Raw genomic sequence first — 20,937 nt, forward strand, 5'->3', positions numbered from 1 at the left:
GTGGCGTTCATTATGCGCTCCTATCCACCAAAGCTTATGTTTGCTTTTTTTCTTCTTTCCGTATCTTTGGTAGTTTAACTTCTTATTCTAAGAAAATCAGAACATGTGGCCGGGCGCGGTGGCTCACGCCTGTAATCCCAGCACTTTGGGAGGCCAAGACGGGTGGATCACCTAAGGTCATGAGGTCGAGACCAGCCTGGCCAACATGGTGAAACCCCGTCTCTACTAAATATACAAAAATTAGCCGGGCGTGGTGGCGCATGCCTGTGATCCCAGCTACTCGGGAAGCTGACGCAGGAGAATCGCTTGAACCTGGGAGGTGGAGGTTGCAGTGAGCTGAGACTGCATCATTGCATTCCAGCCTGGGCAACAAGAGCGAAACTGCGTCTAAAAAAAAAGAAAAGAAAGAAAGAAAATCAGAACATGTGCTGACTAACCCTTGAAGTAACTTGAAGTTCAGTCTTTACATTAGTGACTTAAATCTATTCTTGGATATGTTGTTTAAGTCCTTTGTGAACTGAAAATAGTGCTGGATGATAAAACCTGCCAAAAAGCTATCGCAGAATGTACCAACCCTGATTATGCTGATGCAACAATGATAGTCATATTTTTGAGCATTGCAATATGCCAAAATGCATTCTGAAAAACCATACTTGACCGTGCAGAATTTACACAACAGAGAATTTGAACACATTATACCAAATAGAAGTGTTTATATAACTACAGAAGACAAAGGTATCGAAACCTTGGCATATGGAAAATAGAATTTGTCCTGCAAGACCAGCCCATTTTATTTATTTATTTTTTAATTTTAATTTTTATTCTTTTTTTTTTTTTGAGACATAATCTCGCTCTGTCGCCCAGGCTGGAGTGCAGTGGCGCGATCTCCGCTCGCTGCAAGCTCTGCCTCTCGGGTTCACGCCATTCTCCTGCCTCAGCCTCTCGAATAGCTGGGACTACAGGCGCCGGCCACCACGCCCAGCTAATTTTTTTTTTTTTTTGAAACCGAGTTTTGCTCTTGTTGCCCAGGCTGGAGTGCAGTGGCGCAATCTTGGCTCACCGCAACCTCCACCTCCCGGGTTCAAGCGATTCTCCTGCCTCAGCCTCCCGAGTAGCTGAGATTACAGGCGTGTGCCACCATGCCCGGCTAATTTTTTTGTATTTTTAGTAGAGACGGGGTTTCTCCATGTTGGTCAGGCTGGTCTCAAACTCCCGACCTCAGGTGATCTGCCCGCCTTGGCCTCCCAAAGTTGTTGGGATTGCAGGCGTGAGCCACCGCGCTCGGCCCTGATTTTTTGTATTTTTTAGGAGAGACGGGGTTTCACTGTGTTGGCCAGGATGGTCTCCATCTCCTGACCTCGTGATCCGCCTGCCTCGGCCTCCCAAAGTGCTGGGATTACAGGCATGAGCCGCTGCACCCCGGCTATTTTTATTCTAAGACAGGATCTTGCTCTGTGCCCAGTCTGGAGTGCAGTGGTGCAATCATGGCTCACTGCAGTCTTGACCTCCCTGGCATAAGTGATCCTCCTGCCTCAGCCTTCTGAGTAGTTGGGACTACAGGCGCACACCACCACGCCTAGCTAATTTTTGTATTTTTAGTAGAGACGAGGTTTTGCCAAGTTGCCCAGGCTGGTCTCGAACTCCCAGGCTCAAGCAATCCGCCAGCCAGCCCATTTTGATCTGCACAATACTTAAGCTGAAGGTATAATACCACCCACCCCTATGCGATGTCTGTACAGATGTGAAAGGACTTTGGAAGTTGTGATGTGCTCGACAGATGTTATTTATTGTTACTAAATGAAAGTTGGGGAAAGATCTCCTAGATTTCTTCCCAAGGGGCTCCAATTGTCAGACTGTTCAATTCTGAAATTTTCTATTGTTAACATATGTGGTGCTAAAGGTCTGTAATTGTGGAATCTTGAGCCTGATTCTAATCCTGTGAAACCAGAATCCTGTGAATCTGACATTCTGTAACTCTATCCAAGTGGGAGGTCAAGGTCTGAAGGCCAGGGCAGGGTGGGGACAGAGGTCAGCAGGAGGATCCCACTCCCCTAGGGAGGAGCAGTTGTCCCCGATGTCTTCTACCTGGGCTCACCCTTGGAGCTACAGCCTCATTATCATTCAGACTTATCATGAGCTCATCACCCTTCCTCCAACCAGCCCTCCCTGGGGCCTCATTGTATGCATTATCCATATTCATTACACATTTTTCTTCCATTAAGTCGAATTAAGCCACTTTGCCAACACTGCAGGAACCAAAATCTCCCTCAATAAGTATGGGCCCTATTGGGGCCCAGAGGAGGCCCTAAGTTAGGACAAATCTACCCATCCCCACCTCCCTCCCATCCTTCTTCTCAAGCACCATCCCCCCCCACTTCCCTGTACCCCAGATCACATGGAAGCTGCAGAAGCACTCCTTTCTGCAAGTTCTGGTACATGGTGTTCCCTCCCTGATGGCCTCACAGGCAGCTGCTGACTCACCCCAGGTTGCTAATGCATCAGGTAGCCATGTATTCCGATGGAGCTGCTTCATAAAATGTAGCAGCGTGTGCATGTGTGAGCTCACATGTGTGAACATGACCAGAGCACCGGCCCTGGGCTGTGGACTTGAGACCTGGATTCTAGGCCACCACTATTTACAGGGTTACCTTGAGCTAATGCCTTCCTCTCTGTCTCAAGAGAATATCCCAGCCCTTCTGGCCTCACTAGGTTGTTTGGATACTTACGAAGAAATGTGTTAATAATACATTGTTCTACAATGTGTTATGAAGTAAAGTGATATCTAAATGCAGTGTACCGGCTGGGAGCGGTGGCTCACGCCTGTAATCCTAACACTTTGGACGACTGAGACGGGGGGATCACTTGAGGTCCGGAGTTCAAGACCAGCCTGGACAACATGATGAAACCGTGCCTCTACTAAAAGTACAAAAATTAGCTGGGCGTGGTGGCAGGCGCCTGTAGTCCCAGCTACTTGGGAGGCTGAGGCAGGAGAATCACTTGAACCCAGGAGGCGGAGGTTGCAGTGAGCCAAGATTGCGCCGCTGCACTCCAGCCTGGGCAACAGAGTGAGATTCTGTCTCAAATTAATTAATTAATTAATTAAATGCAGTGTACCACCAAGATGTCCATGTCCAGCCCCATAGCACCACCTGCTGTGTGACCTTAGGCAGATCATTTTACTTCTCTGAACTTTTGTTTCTGTGCACACGCGCGTGTGTGTGTGTGTGTGTCTATAGTTTTTTGAGTGCTTACTATATGCTGAGCATTGTGTCTGGCATGTTATGGGGTTTACGCTGTACCAGTCAAGATTCTCAGTTGTAAACAAATTCTCAGAGGTAGTTGCCAGAAACTACCTCTGGCAAAATTAAGCAAAAAGGGTCTTTACTGGAAAGCTATTGGATGTCTCACTGAAATGACAGGGAGACCACAAAGCTAGATGAGAATCAAGGGCAGCTGGGCACGGCCAAAGTCCTGCCATGGGAACTATGTGTTTAGGACAGACTCTGCCTCTAGCCACACAGATACTTGCTGATCACCACTGCACTGCTAGGCTCTTGCCCCATTGCAGCCACCTGAAGTAATCTCTGTCCTTGCCCCTCTGCTAACTGCCACCAGACTCAGCCCATGTAGGGCATTGACTTGGCCAATCACAAGCCCACAAGGGTCAGGAGGAGTTGCTGCCTCCTTCAGCTCCCACATAGCTTGGAATTCCTCCAGATAGGGAGTGTTTGGATGCTGGGTGGCCCAGAGCAATCAATGTCCACTATAGGCTTCACCAATTCTGAGTTTGGTAATATTACATTTTACAGGTGAAGAGACTGAGGCTCTGAAAGGTTTATATACTGGTTACCCAGCTAGTATGGGTACACGAACACCTACCTTGCAGGAATGGAAGAAGTAAATGGGCGTAGTTAGTCAGCACGAGTTCATTCCTCTTTTCCCCTCAGTAATAGCTCTTGCTGGGAATGTTTGCTCCGCCATGGGGAAGTCTTTCAAAGATTTGTTCACATTCTCTATGACCCTGCAGGTGGTTCCTAACTTCCTGGCAACAACCACAATTGTAATTCGTTCAAAGAGATTGACTGCTGTGGAGACAGATCATCACCATCACCATCACCATCACCATCACCACCACCACCATCATCATCATTGTCATCGTCATCATTATGTTGCTTTTAGCTCACTGGAGCCTCACAGAACCCTGTGAGGTAGGTATTACCTCAGTTTACCAAATGAGAAAACTGGGGCTCGGAGGGGGTTTCATGGCTGTCCCAGACTTACAAAGCAAGTCAGAACCAGAATCATATCTAAATCTTCTGTCTGCAGAATCCACTCTATCACGTGGCCTCTATTTCAAAGAAGCAGGCCAAAAACAGGACATACAGCATTTGACATAGACATGGACCATCAAGGCAGGGAGATCCTAGCCCCTTTGCATCCTTTCTGCTTTTTCACTGGTAGGAAAGTTGAGTTCTAGAGAGAAATGCCCTGCCCAACCTCACACAGTGCCATTGGTGAAGCCTCCATGGTTTGAATATAGTTCTCTTGCCACCCAGTTTAGTAAGCATTCCCCACACCATTATGGAGCTCATTTCAAAGTTGAAGTAACTGAGATGGTCACCCCGGGAGTAAATGGCCCACCCAGCTGTTGGGATGAGTACATAGCTAATGTGTGGGCCCAGAAGAAAGGCCATGGCAGCAGGGTGGCTGGGAGGTAGCAGGCTTTGCACGTCCAGAAAATTCTGTTCTCTCAAAATCAGGAAATGTCTCCACACTTTAAGATGCAGTTATCCTCTCCTGGTTGGAATTGATTGCAACATACTTCAATTTGTGGGTTATTGGAATAGCTGGGGAAAGTCTGAAGGTAATTAGACCTGGATAGACCAAACATGTGTGGCCCAAAGAACTGAACAGTCTGTGATTAGCACCTTGATCTGAGGCCCACAGGTAGGTACTGGGAAATTTCCGTGCACTTTGGCTTTTGAGGCAGCCTTCCCATTTGAAAATGCCCCCCACCCCTCCCTGACTCCTTCCAGCGTCAGCTTAGAGAGTATTCCTCTAGGAAATTGTTTTTGACTCCCAAGCTGAGTTGGGATCTCCTCTGGTCTCCCACAGCTTCTCTGTGTCATAGCCCCGACCACACTGGATTGTCATTTTCTATGTGTCCATCTCGCCATTATGGACTGTTAATTCCAGGGCATGGACAGATCTTCCTCAGAGGAGGCCTCAGCAAGTGTCAGCCACACGAATGAGTGTATGGAGCAAAGGAGGAGTGAACGTCTAGGAGACCAGCCGTTACCCCAACTCCTCCCCATCCGCTCCTACTCTGGACTCCAATCTATGCCCTACCCCAGCTCTTGGATTTGGCCTTTGGATCAGGTTCTTCTGGTAATGAAGCCTCACCTTTCCCCCAACTAACTCTGATCTGGCCTACCCTGCTCCTGACTAACCTCAAGGATCCTGAGTCTCCTTCAGCCTAACAGCTCCAGAAGCTGAACTCCAGCCCTAAGAGCCCCAGCTGCAGACAGGCCTCTGGCCAAGAGCTTAGTCAGGCTACCCTGACTAAGCCACAGGGTTGGCATGCCCTCTGGGCAGCCCCTGAACCGGGCTCTGAAAACACAGGAATGGACAAGGTAATCTACCCGAGTCCTGAGCCTGCAAGGTAGTTGAGACAGATCTTGAAGGAGAGTGGGCACAGTCAGAAAGGAAAAAGTGGCTCAGTGTAAAATAAAACTGACACAAGCCCATGTACCAGCAGCCAATTGGATCTTTTTTTTTTTTTTTTTTTTGAGATGGGGCTTCTCTTATTGCCCAGGCTGGTCTTGAACTTCTGAGCTCAAGCGATCCTCCCACCTTGGCCTACCAAAGTGCTGGGATTACAGGCGTGAACCACCAATTGGATCTTTACTGGACCCCTACAGGGCACTGAGCTAGGGAATGTTGGAGATTCAGAGGCTGAATCAGATAGCAGCCCAACCCTGAGATACAACTGAGCTACAGGCAAGAGGATACTACCGGGCGCAGTGGCTCACACCTGTAATCCCAGCACTTTGGGAGGCCGAGGCGGGTGGATCATGTGAGGCCAGGAGTTCGAGAATACCCTGGCCAACATGGTGAAACCCCATCTCTATTAAAAATACAAAAATTAGCTGGGGTTGGTGGCACATGCCTGTAAACCTAGCTACTTGAGAGGCTGAGACACGAGAATCACTTGAACCTGGGAGGTGGAGGTTGCAGTGAGCTGTGATCACGCCACTGCACCCCAGCCTGGGTGACAGAGCGAGACTCTGTCTCAAAAAAAAAAAAAAAAAAAGAGGATGCTAAGACATCTGGAAGGTGGTGTTCTATTGAGAAAAAAAAAACAAGGTAGGGACAAAAGCGAAGGCCTAGAATGATACAAAAAGTGCAGAACATAGTGACCTACACAGCTACATTTGTGTAGGCCCAGTTACATCAACATTCTAGAATATCCTAATATTCTGACACACTAATGTTCCAGCACACCACATTCTGTCATGTTGTCATTCCATTCTGGGGAGCACTCCACCCCACCAACATTCCTCTCTCTGCCATTCCAATGTTCCATCCCACCAACATTCCTCCATGCCATCATTGCAACATTTAAAAATATCAGCACTATAAGTCAAACTTTCAAGCTTCCAACTAAAAGCATTTATTTGTTTCTTGGTTCATCTATACCAGAGGCTCTTAATATTTGGGGGGAATGCAGACTTTTTTGAGAAGTTATTAAAATTTATGGCTCCATCTCCCTAGAAAAATATGTTTATACACATAAATTTTACATATCATTCCATATATTCAGTGACTCATGGCAGAGTCCCTAGACTCTAAGAACTGTTCAATTTTACCCTGCCTTGATCCAGAAAGACATTTAAAATAAAATAAGATCGGCTGGGTGTAGTGGCTCACGCCTGTAATCCCAGCACTTTTGGAGGCCGAGGTGGGTGGATAACTAAAGGTCAGGAGTTCGAAACCAGCCTGGCCAACATGGGGAAACCCCATCTCTACTAAAAATACACACACAAAAAAGTGTAGCTGGGTTTGGTGGTGTGCGCCTGTAATCCCAGCTATTGGGAGGCTGAGGTGGAAGAATCTCTTGAACCTGGGAGGTGGAGGTTGCAGTGAGCTGAGATCATGGCACTGCACTCCAGCCTGGGTTACAGAGCAAGATTTCGTCTCAAAAATAAAATAAAATAATAAAATAAAACAAAACAAGATCATTAAATTTAAGACAGGGCAAGGTAAAATTGAAAGAGAAAAAAAAACAAGGTAGGGAAAAAGTGGAGCCTGGAATGATACAAAAAGTACAGAACATAGTGACCTATGCAGCTAAATTTGTGTCATACATACTTAGTTCTATGACTTCCAGCAGCCAAAGCAAAAAGGGAAACCTGTTCACTCACACAGTTCACAGTGTTCACAGGATAAAAACAAACCACTTACTCCTTAGAGGATATACAACGATTCTTGGTATGTAGACCAGACAAGAATTTCTCCTGAGAGCCTCATAAAGAATAATATAATAGACCATGGCGTCAACAGAGCCCTCACAATAGATACAGAGATGTATTTTGTGGTAGAGTTACCAACTTGTCCTGGTTTCCCTGGGACTTTCTTGGTTTTAACCCTGAAAGTCTCAATCCCAGGAAACTCTTTAGTCACGGGCAAATCGAGAAGGTTGGTCACCTTATCTATGAGTTACAGTTCAGTCAAAACTTATCTAGGGGCCGGTCGTGGTGGCTCACACCTGTAATCCCAGCGCTTTGGGAGGCCGAGGCAGGCAAATCACCTGAGGCCAGGAGTTCGAGACCAGCCTGACCAACATGGAGAAACCCCATCTCTACTAAAAATACAAAGTTAGCCGGGCATGGTGGCGCATGCCTGTAATCCCAGCTACTCAGGAGGCTGAGGCAGGAGAATCCCTTGAACCCGGGAGGCAAAGGTTGCAGTGAGCCAAGATGGCGCCATTGCACTCCAGCCTGGGCAACGAGTGAAACTTCATCTCAAAAAAAAAAAAAATCATGTATAATCAGAATTATCCTTGGAAACCCCTTTTATCACTCCTAAAGTACAGAACCATCTCCCAATAGCATAGCCAAGTTTTCCTCTAGCAATGGAACAGATTGCTGTTTCTTCGGTGGATAACTGATAAAGGGATTGGCTTGCTTGGGGACTTACACACTAGACCCATACTTAGTATGGCGACATGCACACACACTGAAGATTTTATGAGGCACCTGGGAACTGAGACCAATGAGGGGAACAGCAGATTTACCTCTTTCACGACACACTTGGGGCCTATGGTATATGAGTAAAATAATATTTAATATAGTATTACTCTTTCTCTTTCCATCTCTAGTTTCTCCACAGCAAGTATAATTGAGTTTTTGTAAACTAAAGAGAAATAGTACCTATTTCATAGGGTTGTGACAATTAAAAGACCTACGTTTTTGTGTTTTGTTTTGTTTTGTTTTTGAGACGGAGTTGTGCTCTGTCACCCAGGCTAGAGTGCAGTGGTGCGATCTTGGCTCACTGCAACCTCTGCCTCCTGGGTTCAAATGATTCTCCTGCCTCAGCCTCTCGAATAGCTGGGATCACAGGCTCCCGCCACCACGCCCGGCTAATTTTTGTATTTTCGTAGAGACAGGGTTTCACAATGTTGGCCAGGCTGGTCTCGAACTCCTGATCTCAGGTGGTCCGCCTGCCTCAGCCTCCCAAAGTGCTGAGATTACAGGCATGAGCCACCATGCCCGGCCAAAAGAGTTAATATTTATAAAGCACTCAAAACAGTTCCTGATCCAGGGTAAGCTCTCTATAAGTGTTTGCTCTTACTGTATTTAAGGTAGATATAGTGGCACTCCACTGTATTTTCTACAAAATCCTGCATATAATCCTTCATGGCAATTTGGGAAAAATGCATTCTGTGGCAGGGATGAGGTTTAGCACACTAGCCCTTTGTAGTTGCAGATGCATGCAGGAGATATATATTATATATTATATATATATTTATATATATATATATACACACACACATATATTATATATGTATATATTTGAGATGGGGTCTTACTCTGTCCTTGCTCAGACTGGAGTGCAGATGGCTCACTGCAGCCTCGACCTCCTGGGCTCAGGTGATCCTCTCACATCAGCCTTCCAAGTAGCTGGGACTACAGGCATGCACCACCACACCCAGCTAATTTTTGTATTTTTTGTAGAGACAGGGGTTTTACTATGTTGCCCAGGGTGGTCTCGAACTCCTGGCACACTGCAACCTCCGCCTGCCAGGTTCAAGTGATTCTCCTGCCTCAGCCTCCTGAGTAGCCGGGATTACAGGCATCCACCACCACACCAGGCTAATTTTGTATTTTTAGTAGAGACGGGGTTTCTCCGTGTTAGTCAGACTGGTCTCAAACTCCCGACCTCAGGTGATTCGCCTGCCTTGGCCTCCCAAAGTGCTGGGATTACAGGTGTGAGCCACCGTACCCGGCCGGCTGGGATATTATTTAAACTTGTAGAGGAGCTGAAGGACTGCCTGCCTTCAGCCACTTCTCCCCAAGCAGGGGTCTTGAATCTGAGTTGGTAAGTGTGAGGAGTGGCAGTGAACATTCCCTGGTGAGGGCCTGGCCCCTTTCACTCCATGCTTTGGCTTAGAAAATCCTCAAACTCCATCTAGAGAGCAACAACTCAACAAGCACCCCCACATGGCATGTCCAGACTGCACTCCCTGTTCCCATGCAGTCGGCTCTGGCCTCTTGAGGCAGGAAGCCCTGGCTGGCTGGGATCTGTCTGGAGGCCTGGCATGAGTACTGAGCTGTGTGCCACAAAGTCTGCCACACAGACCAACCAACAAACCATTGAATTTGAAAGCACTTTGTACACTGTGAAGTGCTGTGCAGATGTGAGAGACATGAGTTAGGATACAGTGCTGCTGAATTCAGAGTCCAGAGAGGTGATGAGACTAGAACTTGGGCAGTGCCTGCAGGGATGGAGAGGGAGCAAACAGGCAATTAATTCAGAAGGCCTAGAGTGGAACATACTTGATATTTGATTATGCTGTGGCCAACAATTGGTAAGAAATCCTAAGATGTCTAGGTCCCTGCATCCTTCTCCGGCCAGAACACACATTTCTTACAGGTTTAGAATCTCAGAGCTGAAAGAAATAATAATTAATTGATTAACTTAACAAAAACTCACCAGATGCCTGCTCTAGTGTAAGCACTGGGCGTGACGATCGTGAAGTATGACCTAACTCCCATAGCAGAATCTCCTGCTCCACCACCCAATAACTCTGGGATCAACAAGTCACTTACCTCTTCTAAGGCTCAGTTTACCTGTCTGTTAAATGGGAATAATGTAAAATAATAATAATACCTCCATCATAGGATTGTTCTGACGATTAAATAATAACTAACTTATATATGGTACTTAGTATATGTCAGACATTGTTCTAGGTGTTTACATATGTAAATTCATTTAATCCTCACAAGAAAATTTTGAGATAGGGTCTCACTCTGTCACTCAAGAATGGAGTGCAGTGGCATGATCTTGGCTCACTACAGCCTCGACCTCCTGGGCTCAAGCAATCCTCCCATCTCAGCCTCCCACGTAGCTGGGACTATAGGCATGCACCACCATCCCTGGCCAGTTTTCATATTTTTTGTAGAGATGGGATTTTGCCATATTGCCCAGGCTGGTCTCGAACTTCTGGCCTCAAGCGATCCACCCACCTACGCTTCCCAAAGTGCTGAGATTACAGAGCCACTGTGCCTGGCCATTCTTCACAATAATTTAATCCTGTGAGAGAGACGTATTATTCTTATCCTCATTTTCCAGATGATGAAACTAAGACACAGAGAGGCCAAGTAACTTGCCCCAGCTCACACAGCTAATAAGCAGTAGAGCAATATGGCTCCAGAAACTATGTTCTTCTTGACCACTCTCAATATTTTCTTTTTATTTTTTTGAGACAGAGTCTCGCTCTGTTGCCCAGGCTAGAGTGCAGTGGTGCCATCTCAGCTCACTGCAACCTCCACCTCCTGGGTTCAAGTAATCCTCCTGCCTCAGCCTCTCGTCTACCTGAGATTACAGGCGTGTGCTACCACGCCCGGCTAATTTTTTGTATTTTTAATAGGGACGGGGGTTTCACCATGTTGGTTAGGCTGGTCTTGAACTCTTGACCTCAGATGATCTGCCTGCCTTCACCTCCAAAGTGCTGGGATTACAGGTGTGAGCCACCATGCCCAGCCTATCCTCCATATTTTCAATGACGTGTTTAGCACAGCTCCTTGCACACGGTAAGCACTCAATGTCAGTTGCCAGTAAGATGATTACATTTTCAACAGCTTTATTGAGGTATATTTTATGTATTATGATTACATTTTGACTGTTAGGAAAATCTTTCTGACACTGAGTTAAAATCCCCCTCAGACCATGCCCCTCCTCCATGGGTTCCAATTCTATCCCCAGAATCTCCTTAGAGCCTTGCCTTGTTACAGTCTCTTAGGGATTTGCAGTTACAGGCCAAACCTGTCTGGTGGGGCTTAGTCTGGCTTCCTTCCTGTCTGTTGGTGACTCAGCCATTGGTTGATGGATTGACAAGCCTCTGATAAGTCCCAGGAGCACTGCAGGTCGGGGGCTGCTGCCTCCTACCCCAGAGCCCAACAGCTACATAAATAAACTACATAATTTGCAGGGTCCAGTGCAAAGTGAAAATGCAGGGCTCCTTGTTCAACATTGTTAAGAATTTCAAGACAGTGATAGTAGAGGCTTAAACCCGGCATGGGGCCCTTGCAAATGTGCAGGACTCACATCCATGAATCAGCCCTAGCAGCATCCTGTATCTTCAGTTCTTCATCACCTCATCCCACCACCATCCCATCCCACCATGTGCTCATGTGGAGGCTGAGCCTGGGAAGTTCCTGGTACACCAGAGAAACACAGAAAACATTTAGCACCAAGAGAGTTACAGCTCACTTGTGCCCTCAAGTCCATCAATTAACTGTAAGTCTGCCTTGAACCTCACTGGCTATAAGATTCAGGCTGTCCACCGTCTCTCGGGCCCCTTTTGTCAGAGGCAGCCCTCTAGGTTTGGTGGATTAGTGGTACAAACACCAGACTAAGAGTTGGGACCTTCCATTGCCTTCCTGAGGACACTCTCATGTGTCTCTTAGAAACACAAGATTTGATGCTCTCAAATCTTGATACAGAGTTTCACTCTTGTCTCCCAGGCTGGAGTGCAATGGTGTGATCTCCCCTCACTGCAACCTCCGCCTCCCAAGTTCAAGCGATTCTCCTGCCTCAGCCTCCCGAGTAGCTGCGATCACAGGCACCCACCACCGTGCCTGGCTAATTTTTGTATTTTTAGTAGAGATGAGGTTTTGCCATGTTGGCCAGGCTGGTCTCGAACTCCTGACCTCAGGTGATCCACCCACCTCAGCCTCCCAAAGTACTGGGATTACAGGCCTGAGCCACTGCGCCTGGCCTGCGACTTTTTTTTTATTCATTTATTTATTAGAGACAGGGTCTCACTTTGACACCTAGGCTGGAGTGCACTGGCACAACCTCGGCTCACTGCAGCCTTGAACTCCTGGATTCTAATGATTCTACTGATCCTCAGCCTCCCAAGTAGCCAGGACTACAAGTGCACACCACCATGCCTGGCTAATTTCAGTTTCTTTATTTGTTTTTTGTTTGTTTGTTTGGTTTTTGTTTTTTTGTAAAGATGAAGTCTCACTATGTTGCTCAGGCTGGTCTTGAACTCCTGGGCTCAAGCGATCCTCTTGCCTCAGACTCCCAGCTCCCAAAGTGCTGGGATTGCAGATGTGAGCCACTGCACCCTGCCTTCATTCCTTTAGAAGCTGATGGGATTTGTCTCCTCTGCCCAGGAGTCTTCTGAGGTCTTGAGAGTGCTCTTCTCTCCTCACAGAAGCAGGGTCACTGGCAGAGGGAGCCCAGGCTCCAACCCAGCTCTGCCGCATATTCACTGTGACTTTGGGTAAGTTCTCAGTATCTCTGAGCCCCAATTTCCTCACCTGTAAAATGGGTTCCATACTTAGACCTCCCTTACAGGATGTTCCCCACTTCAGGAGGCGCCCTGCACACAGTGGGCAGTTAATGAATGTTGCTGTTATTACACCACCCCAGGGCAGCTTCAAGGTCAAAGCTTGATGCCACTGATGTCTGGAGTCCACTGGGGCCTCCTGGAACCTGATCGGACACCGTCATCTTGGGGAGAGTAGGGTCAGCTGCTATTCTTGGAGCTGATGGAACCCAGCCGGGTTTCAAGTTCCCTCAGGGAGCCCTGGCCCAGGCAGCTTGGCTGGTCATGTGAGCAGTGAAGTCTGACCTCAGCAAGTTCTCCTGGACTCTCCGCATGGCCCCAGCTGGAGGGAACTTGGGCACAGAGCGTGCTACAGGGAGTCCATGTCCTCCTGCAGCTGACCTTAGCCTTTTAGCTCCTGTTCATCAGCATCTACTTGGTACCCAAAAGGTCCTCGGGTGCTGTTTGAGGGTCTCCCTGAGACTGCAAAGTGTTTCCAACATCAGGATGTGAGGCAGCCTTGAGTCATATGAAGAGGGTTTAGGAGACAAGCAGGACTAAGTTCTAATCCCGGCTGCAATACTCATTGGTCTGTGAGTCTTTCTGTAAGCCACTTTGGCTGAGCCTCAGTTTATTTGAAAAACAGTGAGAATGAAAGTTTCCTGAGATGATTAGAGCATCTGGTACAAAGTAGTTGCTCAATAAATGATCAAAATTTAGACTGTAATTTCCTAAATGATAAAGACTCTGTCAAATCCAGCCCTGCATCCCCAGCGCCCAACCTAGGGCCACCCAGCCTAGAGGAAGCCCTCAGTGTTGACCATATGAATAATGAATTATGGAGGGCACTGAATGGAAATGCCTTATCTGGCTCCCATCTTTCAGGTTTTGCATACTCACTCCACCCAAATCTCATATAGAGTTAGTCCCCTCTGCATCAGCCCTGACAGGCGAGCATCTCCTCTCTTCTTGCATATCCCTGTAATAGGAAGTTCACCTCCTCCCAGAGCTTCTCATTCTGCCAAGTAGAAAATGCTTTCTTCCACTCAGATGTCGATGAACTGAGTTCTGTCTCCTAGCAGCTTCCATCCATTGGGCCTAGTTCTGCTCTCTGGAGCTGTACAGAACAAGCCTAGTTCTGCTTCCGAAAGATAGCCCTCCAGTGAGCTATTACACAATTTAGAATGTGCCAGGCATCGAGCCAGGCACTGCACTTACTTTATCTCATTAAACCCTTTAACCCTTACACTAACCCTGAAAAGTAAACATTATCCTTACTCTAGAGATGAGGAAAATGAGGCTCATAGAGGAAACATAACACATTTGCAGAGAAATTATTTAAATCCAGATTCTTTTCCAAAACGCTACCTTTTCAATGCTCAGTTGATCTACTGGAAGATAGCATTTGTCTCTGAGAGTTTCCCTTCCCTTCCCTTTCCTTCAATAAAGATTTATTATGTATCTCATCTGTACCAGATCCTGAGCTAGGCACAGGGAATAGAAATGAGACATAATCTATTAGGACATAATCTATTGGGACAGGCACTTAACAGCCTGTCCCAAACCATGTGAAAAGGACAGAGACAGGCTGGGCATAGTAGTGCCATCATTTTGGGAGGCTGAGGCAGGTGGATCGCTTGAGTTCAGAAGTTTGAGACCAACCTGGGCAACATAGTGAGAACTTGTCTCTGTTTTTAAAAAATCAAATTAAGCCTGGACGAAGTGGCTCACGCCTGTAATCCCAGCACTTTGGGGGGCCAAGGCAGATGGATCACTTGAGGCCAGGAGTTCGAGACCAGCCTGGCCAACAGGCCAACATGGCAAAAGCCCATCTCTACTAAAAATACAAAAATTAGGCAGGATGCCAGGTGCCTGTAATCCCACCTACTTGGGGGGCTGAGGCAGGAGAATCGCTTGAACTTGAGAGGCAGAGGTTGCAGTGAGCCGAGATCATGCCATTGCACTCTAGCCTGGGCAACAGAGTGAGACTCTGTCTCAAAAAAAAAACAAAAACAAAAAAACCCACTAAATTTTAAAAAAGGAAAGAAAGAACTGAGAGAAGCACAAGGACTATCAGAAGACCACGGAACTTGAGGGTCCAGGATGACTTCCTGGAGGAGGTGACATGTGGGCTAAGTTTTAAAGGACTATTAGGAATTGTAAAGAGCTGAAGGTGTGGAGACCAGACTGCAGAGGGGTTGTAGTGACAAGCTAAGGAGCTGCGGCTTTACACCACTTGAGTGGGCTGCCCATTTTAGTATGAATAAGAATTTCCCGTGGTTTTCTTATTTAAAATCCAGATTTTCATTCCGTAGGTCTTGGTGGACCCAGACATCAGCAAAAGCTTGGCTGTAAGAAACAGCCTGGGTATTTTGTTGTTACTTTTTCTTTTAAAATATTTAATGGATAAACAAAAAGTGTATATATTCAAGGTATACAGTGTGATGATTTGATATACATTGTGTACTGATTACTATAGTCAAATTAATGAACGCATCCATCACCACTTAATTTCTCTCTGTGTGTGTGTGTGTGTGTGTGAGAGAGAGAGAGAGATAGGGATATTTTGGGGGTGGGGCAGGTGGTGCAGAGACCACAAGCAGTTCCCTGATGCAAAGATGCCTGAGTTAGGAATAAGATGGGGCTAAATATGGAGGCAGGGATCATCTCATGGGAGTGGGGAGACACACTGGGCAAAGAATTTTGGCCTTTCCCCTTTAGACAGTGGGGAGGCCTGATTTATAAACTGTAATACAATCACCATTCCTCAAGCCTGGGGAGGGGCACCAGCTGGGAATAGTTTCCACTCTGGGCCCCCAGCAGGTGCAAGTCTTCTCAGTGACTCTGTGCTCAGGCAGTGGAGAAGGGAAAAAGTAGGGGCAGCCCCCTACTTTTCCCCTGCCCCAGGCATGCCCCCTGCAGCTGTTTTGTGCCATCAGTACCCCTGGAGAGCCTCACCGTCAGCTCCCTGGATATTCAAAGAATGGCAGCAAAGGCAGGCTGTTTTAAAAGCTAGACTCCCTCACAAGGTAACAATACCACTCAGAAAAAAGACAATTATCTAATTGTAAGATTTCATTCCACAAAAGTCTTTTTAAATCAGCATTTATCATTCTACGATAAGAGTTACTATTTACTCCTCCTAACAACCCTACTAGAAGACATTGTTATCCCCACCTGAGAGGTGACAAAATCCGAAAAGAGGGTAGAGTAACTTGTCTAAGGTCACACAGCCAATAAAAAGCAAAACTCAGGTCAGAACCCAGGCTAAGACCTTTAGACCTAAGAACTGAAAATAGTCTGGTACACCCCGCCCCCACCAACCCTAATATAGAATTCACAATAAAAGAGATCTAAACTGCAAAATGAACATAAAGAACCCAAAAAAGTCTTCATTCCCCCCACAAAGTGATTACTTGATGCTTTAAAAGAAATGTAGGCCAAGAGCGGTGGCTCACGCCTGTAATCCCAGCACTTTGGGAGGCTGAGGCAGGCAGATCACGAGGTCAGGAGATCGAGACCATCCTGGCTAACACGGTGAAACCCCATCTCCACTAAAAAAAAATACAAAAAATTAGCCAGGCATGGTAGCGGGAGCCTGTAGTCCCAGCTACTCGGGAGGCTGAGGCAGGAGAATGGGAGGCGGAGCTTGCAGCTTGCAGTGAGCCAAGATCGAGCCACTGCACTCCAGCCTGGGTGACAGAGCGAGACTCTGTCTCAAAAAAAAAAAAAAAAAGGAATATAACATTACTATTTTTAAATGTATATATTTCTCATTCTTTGTTAGGTGTCCTAAATATACATGCGTATTCTGCCTTTGACTAATCCAGAATTGTCCACATCTGTAGGATCTGAAGTCTAGGCATTTTCCCTCTGCCACGCTGCCCTTCATACAATTTTTCAAGCAACTTCATAAAACAAATAAAAATGCTATTTATTTATAAAACTTAAAAAATCACCCAACAGTTCAGAGTTCTTGTCCCCATCCCCACACCACAGGCTCCAAATCAATATGAATAGCTCCACTGTCCACCTAGATGCCCAAGCTAAACCTGTTTTGGTTTATATTTTTCAACCTCATGCTCAACCCCACCTTCTTCCCACCCCCGCATGGCTCAATTTTGCTTATTCAGCTGTCTGGCCTCTCACCTGTGCTCCCTTCCTTGCTTGACAGGCCTTAGCTCAGGCCCCACCATGTCTCACCTTGACATCTGCAGCCATCTCCTCATTGGTCTTCCTGCCTCCAGTCTTTCCCCCGTGATTCATTTTCTGCACTGGGGATGATCTTTCTAATTTCCAAACCTGATCAAAACCCTTTCGTGACTCTGCATTACCCACAAGATAAAAGCCAAATCTCTATACCCTCAGGTTTTCCCTTCCCTCTCTGGGACTCTTCCTTTCCTTCCTCACAGTACTGAGCACCATACTGTCAGATTTTAGTGAGAGCATTGGCCGGGCAGAGCGGTTCACGCCTGTAATCCCAGCACTTTGGGAGGGAGAGGCAGGCAGATCATCTGAGGTTGGAAGTTCAAGACCAGCCTGGCCAACATAGTGAAATGGTGAAACCCATCTCTACTAAAAAATACAAAAATTAGCTGGGCGTGGTGGCCTGTAATCCCAGCTACTCAGGAGCCTGAGGCAGGAGAATCTCTCAAACCCGGGAGGCAGAGGTTGCAGTGAGCCAAGATCGCACCACTGCACTCCAGCCTGGGCAACAGAGTGAGACTGTGTCTCAAAAAAAAAAAAAAAGATTTTAGTGAGAACACAAACCGCCAGAGTCAATTATGAACCGTCTTTCCCATTAGACAGACCATCAGGCCAGCTCTGAATGTCCTGTATCCAGCCCAAGCCTAGCATGGAGGAAAAACGTAGGAAATAGTTGTTAATGATGATCCAATGCCTGCTGGCTAGAAGACACAGTAATGATACTGCTTGCTGTGACCAGAGTCTGAAAAGCGATTTTCAAACCTTGCCTCAAAGGCTGCATTAAAGTGAGAAACTTATCCATGCTGGCTCTTACCAACCTACTGCTTCCCACAGTAGCCTGGGTATGAAATGGCCTTGGACCATTCTGAACAGTAAATTATTATTCTTTGCATTTTAATAACTTTAGGGAAATATAACATTTTGACACAGTTAATGCTCACTCTATTGTTCCCTGCCCCACTAAGTATGTGACTCAGGAAGGCAAGTACCAGAAGTCCCAGGTAGGAACTCGTCCATAAAAAAAAAAAAAAAGGCTGGGTGTAGTGGCTCACGCCTGTAATCCCAGCACTTTGGGAGGCCGAGACAGGTGGATCATCTGAGGTCGGGAGTTCGAGACCAGCCTGGCCAACATGGAGAAACCCTGTCTCTACTAAAAATACAAAATTAGCCGGGTGTGGTAGCACATGCCTGTAATCCCAGCTACTCAGGAGGCTGAGGCAGGAGAATTGCTTGCACCCGGGAGGCGGAGGTTGCGGTGAGCTGAGATCATGCCATTGCACTCCAGCCTGGGCAACAAGAGTGAAGTTCCATCTCAAAAAAAAAATCCAGTACATCTGCCACCCAAAAATCAAACTTAGTTCTTCAAAATTACAAAACCCAGTGGGGCAAGTGGCTCATGTCTGTAATCCTAGCATGTTGGGAGGCTGAGGCAGGAGGATCGCTTGAGCCCAGGAGTTTGAGACCAGCCTGGGCAACACAGCGAGACCCCATATCTACAAAAAACATGAAAACTAACTGGGCATGGTGTCACGCACATGTAGTCCCTAGCTACTTGGGAGACTGAGGTAGGAGGATCACCTGAGCCCAGGAGGTTGAGGCTGCAGTGAGCTATGATTGCACCACTGCACTCCAGCCTAGGTGACACAGAGAGACCCTATCTCAAAAAGAAAAAAAAAAATTACAAAACCTGTTAGTTGAAAAGATATGATTCTTGGCAGGGCACAGTGGCTCATGCCTGTAATCCTAGCACTTTGGGAGGCCAAGGTGGGTGGATCAGCTGAGGTCAGGAGTTAGAGACCAGCCTGATCAACATGGTGAAACCCCATTTCTACTAAAAATACAAAAAATAGCCGGCTGTGGTGGCGCTCGCCTGTAGTCCCAGCTACTCAAGAGGCTGAGGCTGGGGAATCACTTGAACCTGGGAGGTGGAGGTTGCAGTGAGCTGAGATCACGTCACTGCACTCCAGCCTGGGTGACACCATCTCAAAAAAAAAAAAAAAAAAAAAAAGATATGATTCTTTAAAAAAATGGTTAAATAGTGAGAACGCTATTGTGCCAAAGAATGCCCATAGGTGATAAAAGAATAGTGAGGGGTGATGGTTTCTTCTGTTTCAAATTGCATTTTATGAGAACATACTAATTTTATAATAAAAAAACTTCAAACCTTGCATTTTTAAAAAGTCAATATGTTTTTTTTTTAAATTGTGGTAAAACATAAAATTTACCATGTTAACCTCTTTTTTTTTTTTTTTTTTTTTTTTTTTTGAGATGGAGTCTCACTCTGTTGCCTAGGCTGGAGTGAAGTGGTGCAATCTCAGCTCACTGCAACCTCCACCTCCCAGGTTCAAGTGATTCTCGTGCCTCAGCCTCCTGAGTCGTTGGGACTACAGGCGCATGCCACCACGCCCAGCTAATTTTTGTATCTTTAGTAGAGAGAGGGTTTCACCATGTAAGCCAGGCTGGGTTAACCATTTTTAAACATATAGTTCAGTAGTGTTAAGTATATTCACATTTGATGTGTAACAATCTCCATTATTTTTTCATCTTACAAATTTGAAACTCTTTACCTATTAAACAACCCATTTTGGCCAGGCATGGTGGCTCACACCTATAATCCCAGAACTTTGGGAGGCCGAGGCGGAAAGATCACTTGAGCTCAGGAGTTTAAGACCAGCCTGGGCAATATGGCAAAACCTCGTCTCTACAAAAAATACAAAAACTAGCTGGGCGTGGTGGTGTGTACCTGTAGTCCCAGCTACTTGGGAAGCTGAGGTGGAAGGATGACCTGAGCCCAGGAGTTAGAGGCTGCAGTGAGCTATGATAGTGCCACTGCACTCCAGCCTAGGCGACAGAGCAAGAGCCTATCTCAAAACAAAAACAAAAACAAAAAACTCATTTCCTCCTCACCCCAGCCCCTGGCAGCCACCATTTTACTTTCTGTTTCTGAGTTTATATACAACTCATACCCAAGTTTAGATGCCTCATATACAGCATGTCTTTTTGTGACTGGCTTATACAGCATGTCTTTTTGTGACTCTCTTAGCACGATGTCCTCAAGATTCAGCCATGTTTTGTGGCATGTGTCAGAATTTCCTTCCTTTTCAAGGCTGAATAATATTCCATTGCATGTACATCTCGCCTTTTGTGTATTCATTCATCTGCTGATGGGCATTTGGGTTCCTTCTACCCTTTGGTTACTATGAATAGTGCTGCTAAGAATATGGGTATAGATACCTCTTGGAGACCCTGCTTTCAATTCTTTTGGATATTAATAGTTTGGATACTTGTCCCCCAAATCTCACGTTGAAATTTAATCCCCAATGTTGGAGGTGGAGCTTGGTGGGAGGTGATTGGATCATGGGGAGGATTTCTCATGAATGGTTTAGGACCCTCCCCTTGGTGCTGTCCTCAGGAGATTTGTGTGTGGTATCTCCCCTTGCTCACTCTCTTGCTCCTGCTCTTGCCTTCTCACCATGTGATACACTGACTCCCCCTGTGCCTTCCACCATGACTGTAAGCTTCTGAGGCCTCACCAGAAGCCAATAGGATGCACAGCACCATGCTTCCTGAGCCAATTAAACTTTTCTTTATAAATTACCCAGTCTCAGGTATTTCTTTATAGCAATGCAAGAATGGCCTAACACAGATATGTACCCAGAAGTGGAATGGCT

The 20,937-nt window shown here is 46.4% G+C and overlaps 1 protein-coding gene across 8 annotated transcripts in view, besides 1 other annotated feature; it reads left to right on the plus strand.

Moving 5' to 3' along the window:
* SHISAL2A (shisa like 2A) overlaps positions 1–6,312 on the plus strand; it is a 36,896-nt gene extending 30,584 nt beyond the window's left edge. For 5 of the 8 annotated variants that reach the window (XR_946635.3, XR_007059587.1, NR_135156.2 and 2 more), the window contains 2 exons: positions 4,028–4,208; positions 5,197–6,312. The gene's annotated coding sequence lies outside the window, so the exon portion shown is untranslated. Of the gene's footprint in view, positions 1–4,027; positions 4,209–5,115 lie in introns of all 8 variants that reach the window. The other 3 variants (XR_946636.3, NR_135157.2, XR_007059593.1) reach the window with 1 other exon arrangement.
* Positions 2,966–3,260: a silencer, noted in NCBI's record as "tiled region #13275; K562 Repressive DNase matched - State 12:CtcfO". NCBI's record gives its function as "represses a minimal TATA promoter and a strong SV40 promoter by Sharpr-MPRA in K562 cells {active_cell/tissue: K562}" and the evidence as "EXISTENCE:reporter gene assay evidence [ECO:0000049][PMID:27701403]".
* Positions 6,313–20,937: the final 14,625 nt, after the last annotated feature.

This window comes from Homo sapiens, chromosome 1 (genome assembly GCF_000001405.40).
Source record: "Homo sapiens chromosome 1, GRCh38.p14 Primary Assembly".
Lineage (NCBI taxonomy): Eukaryota > Metazoa > Chordata > Mammalia > Primates > Hominidae > Homo > Homo sapiens.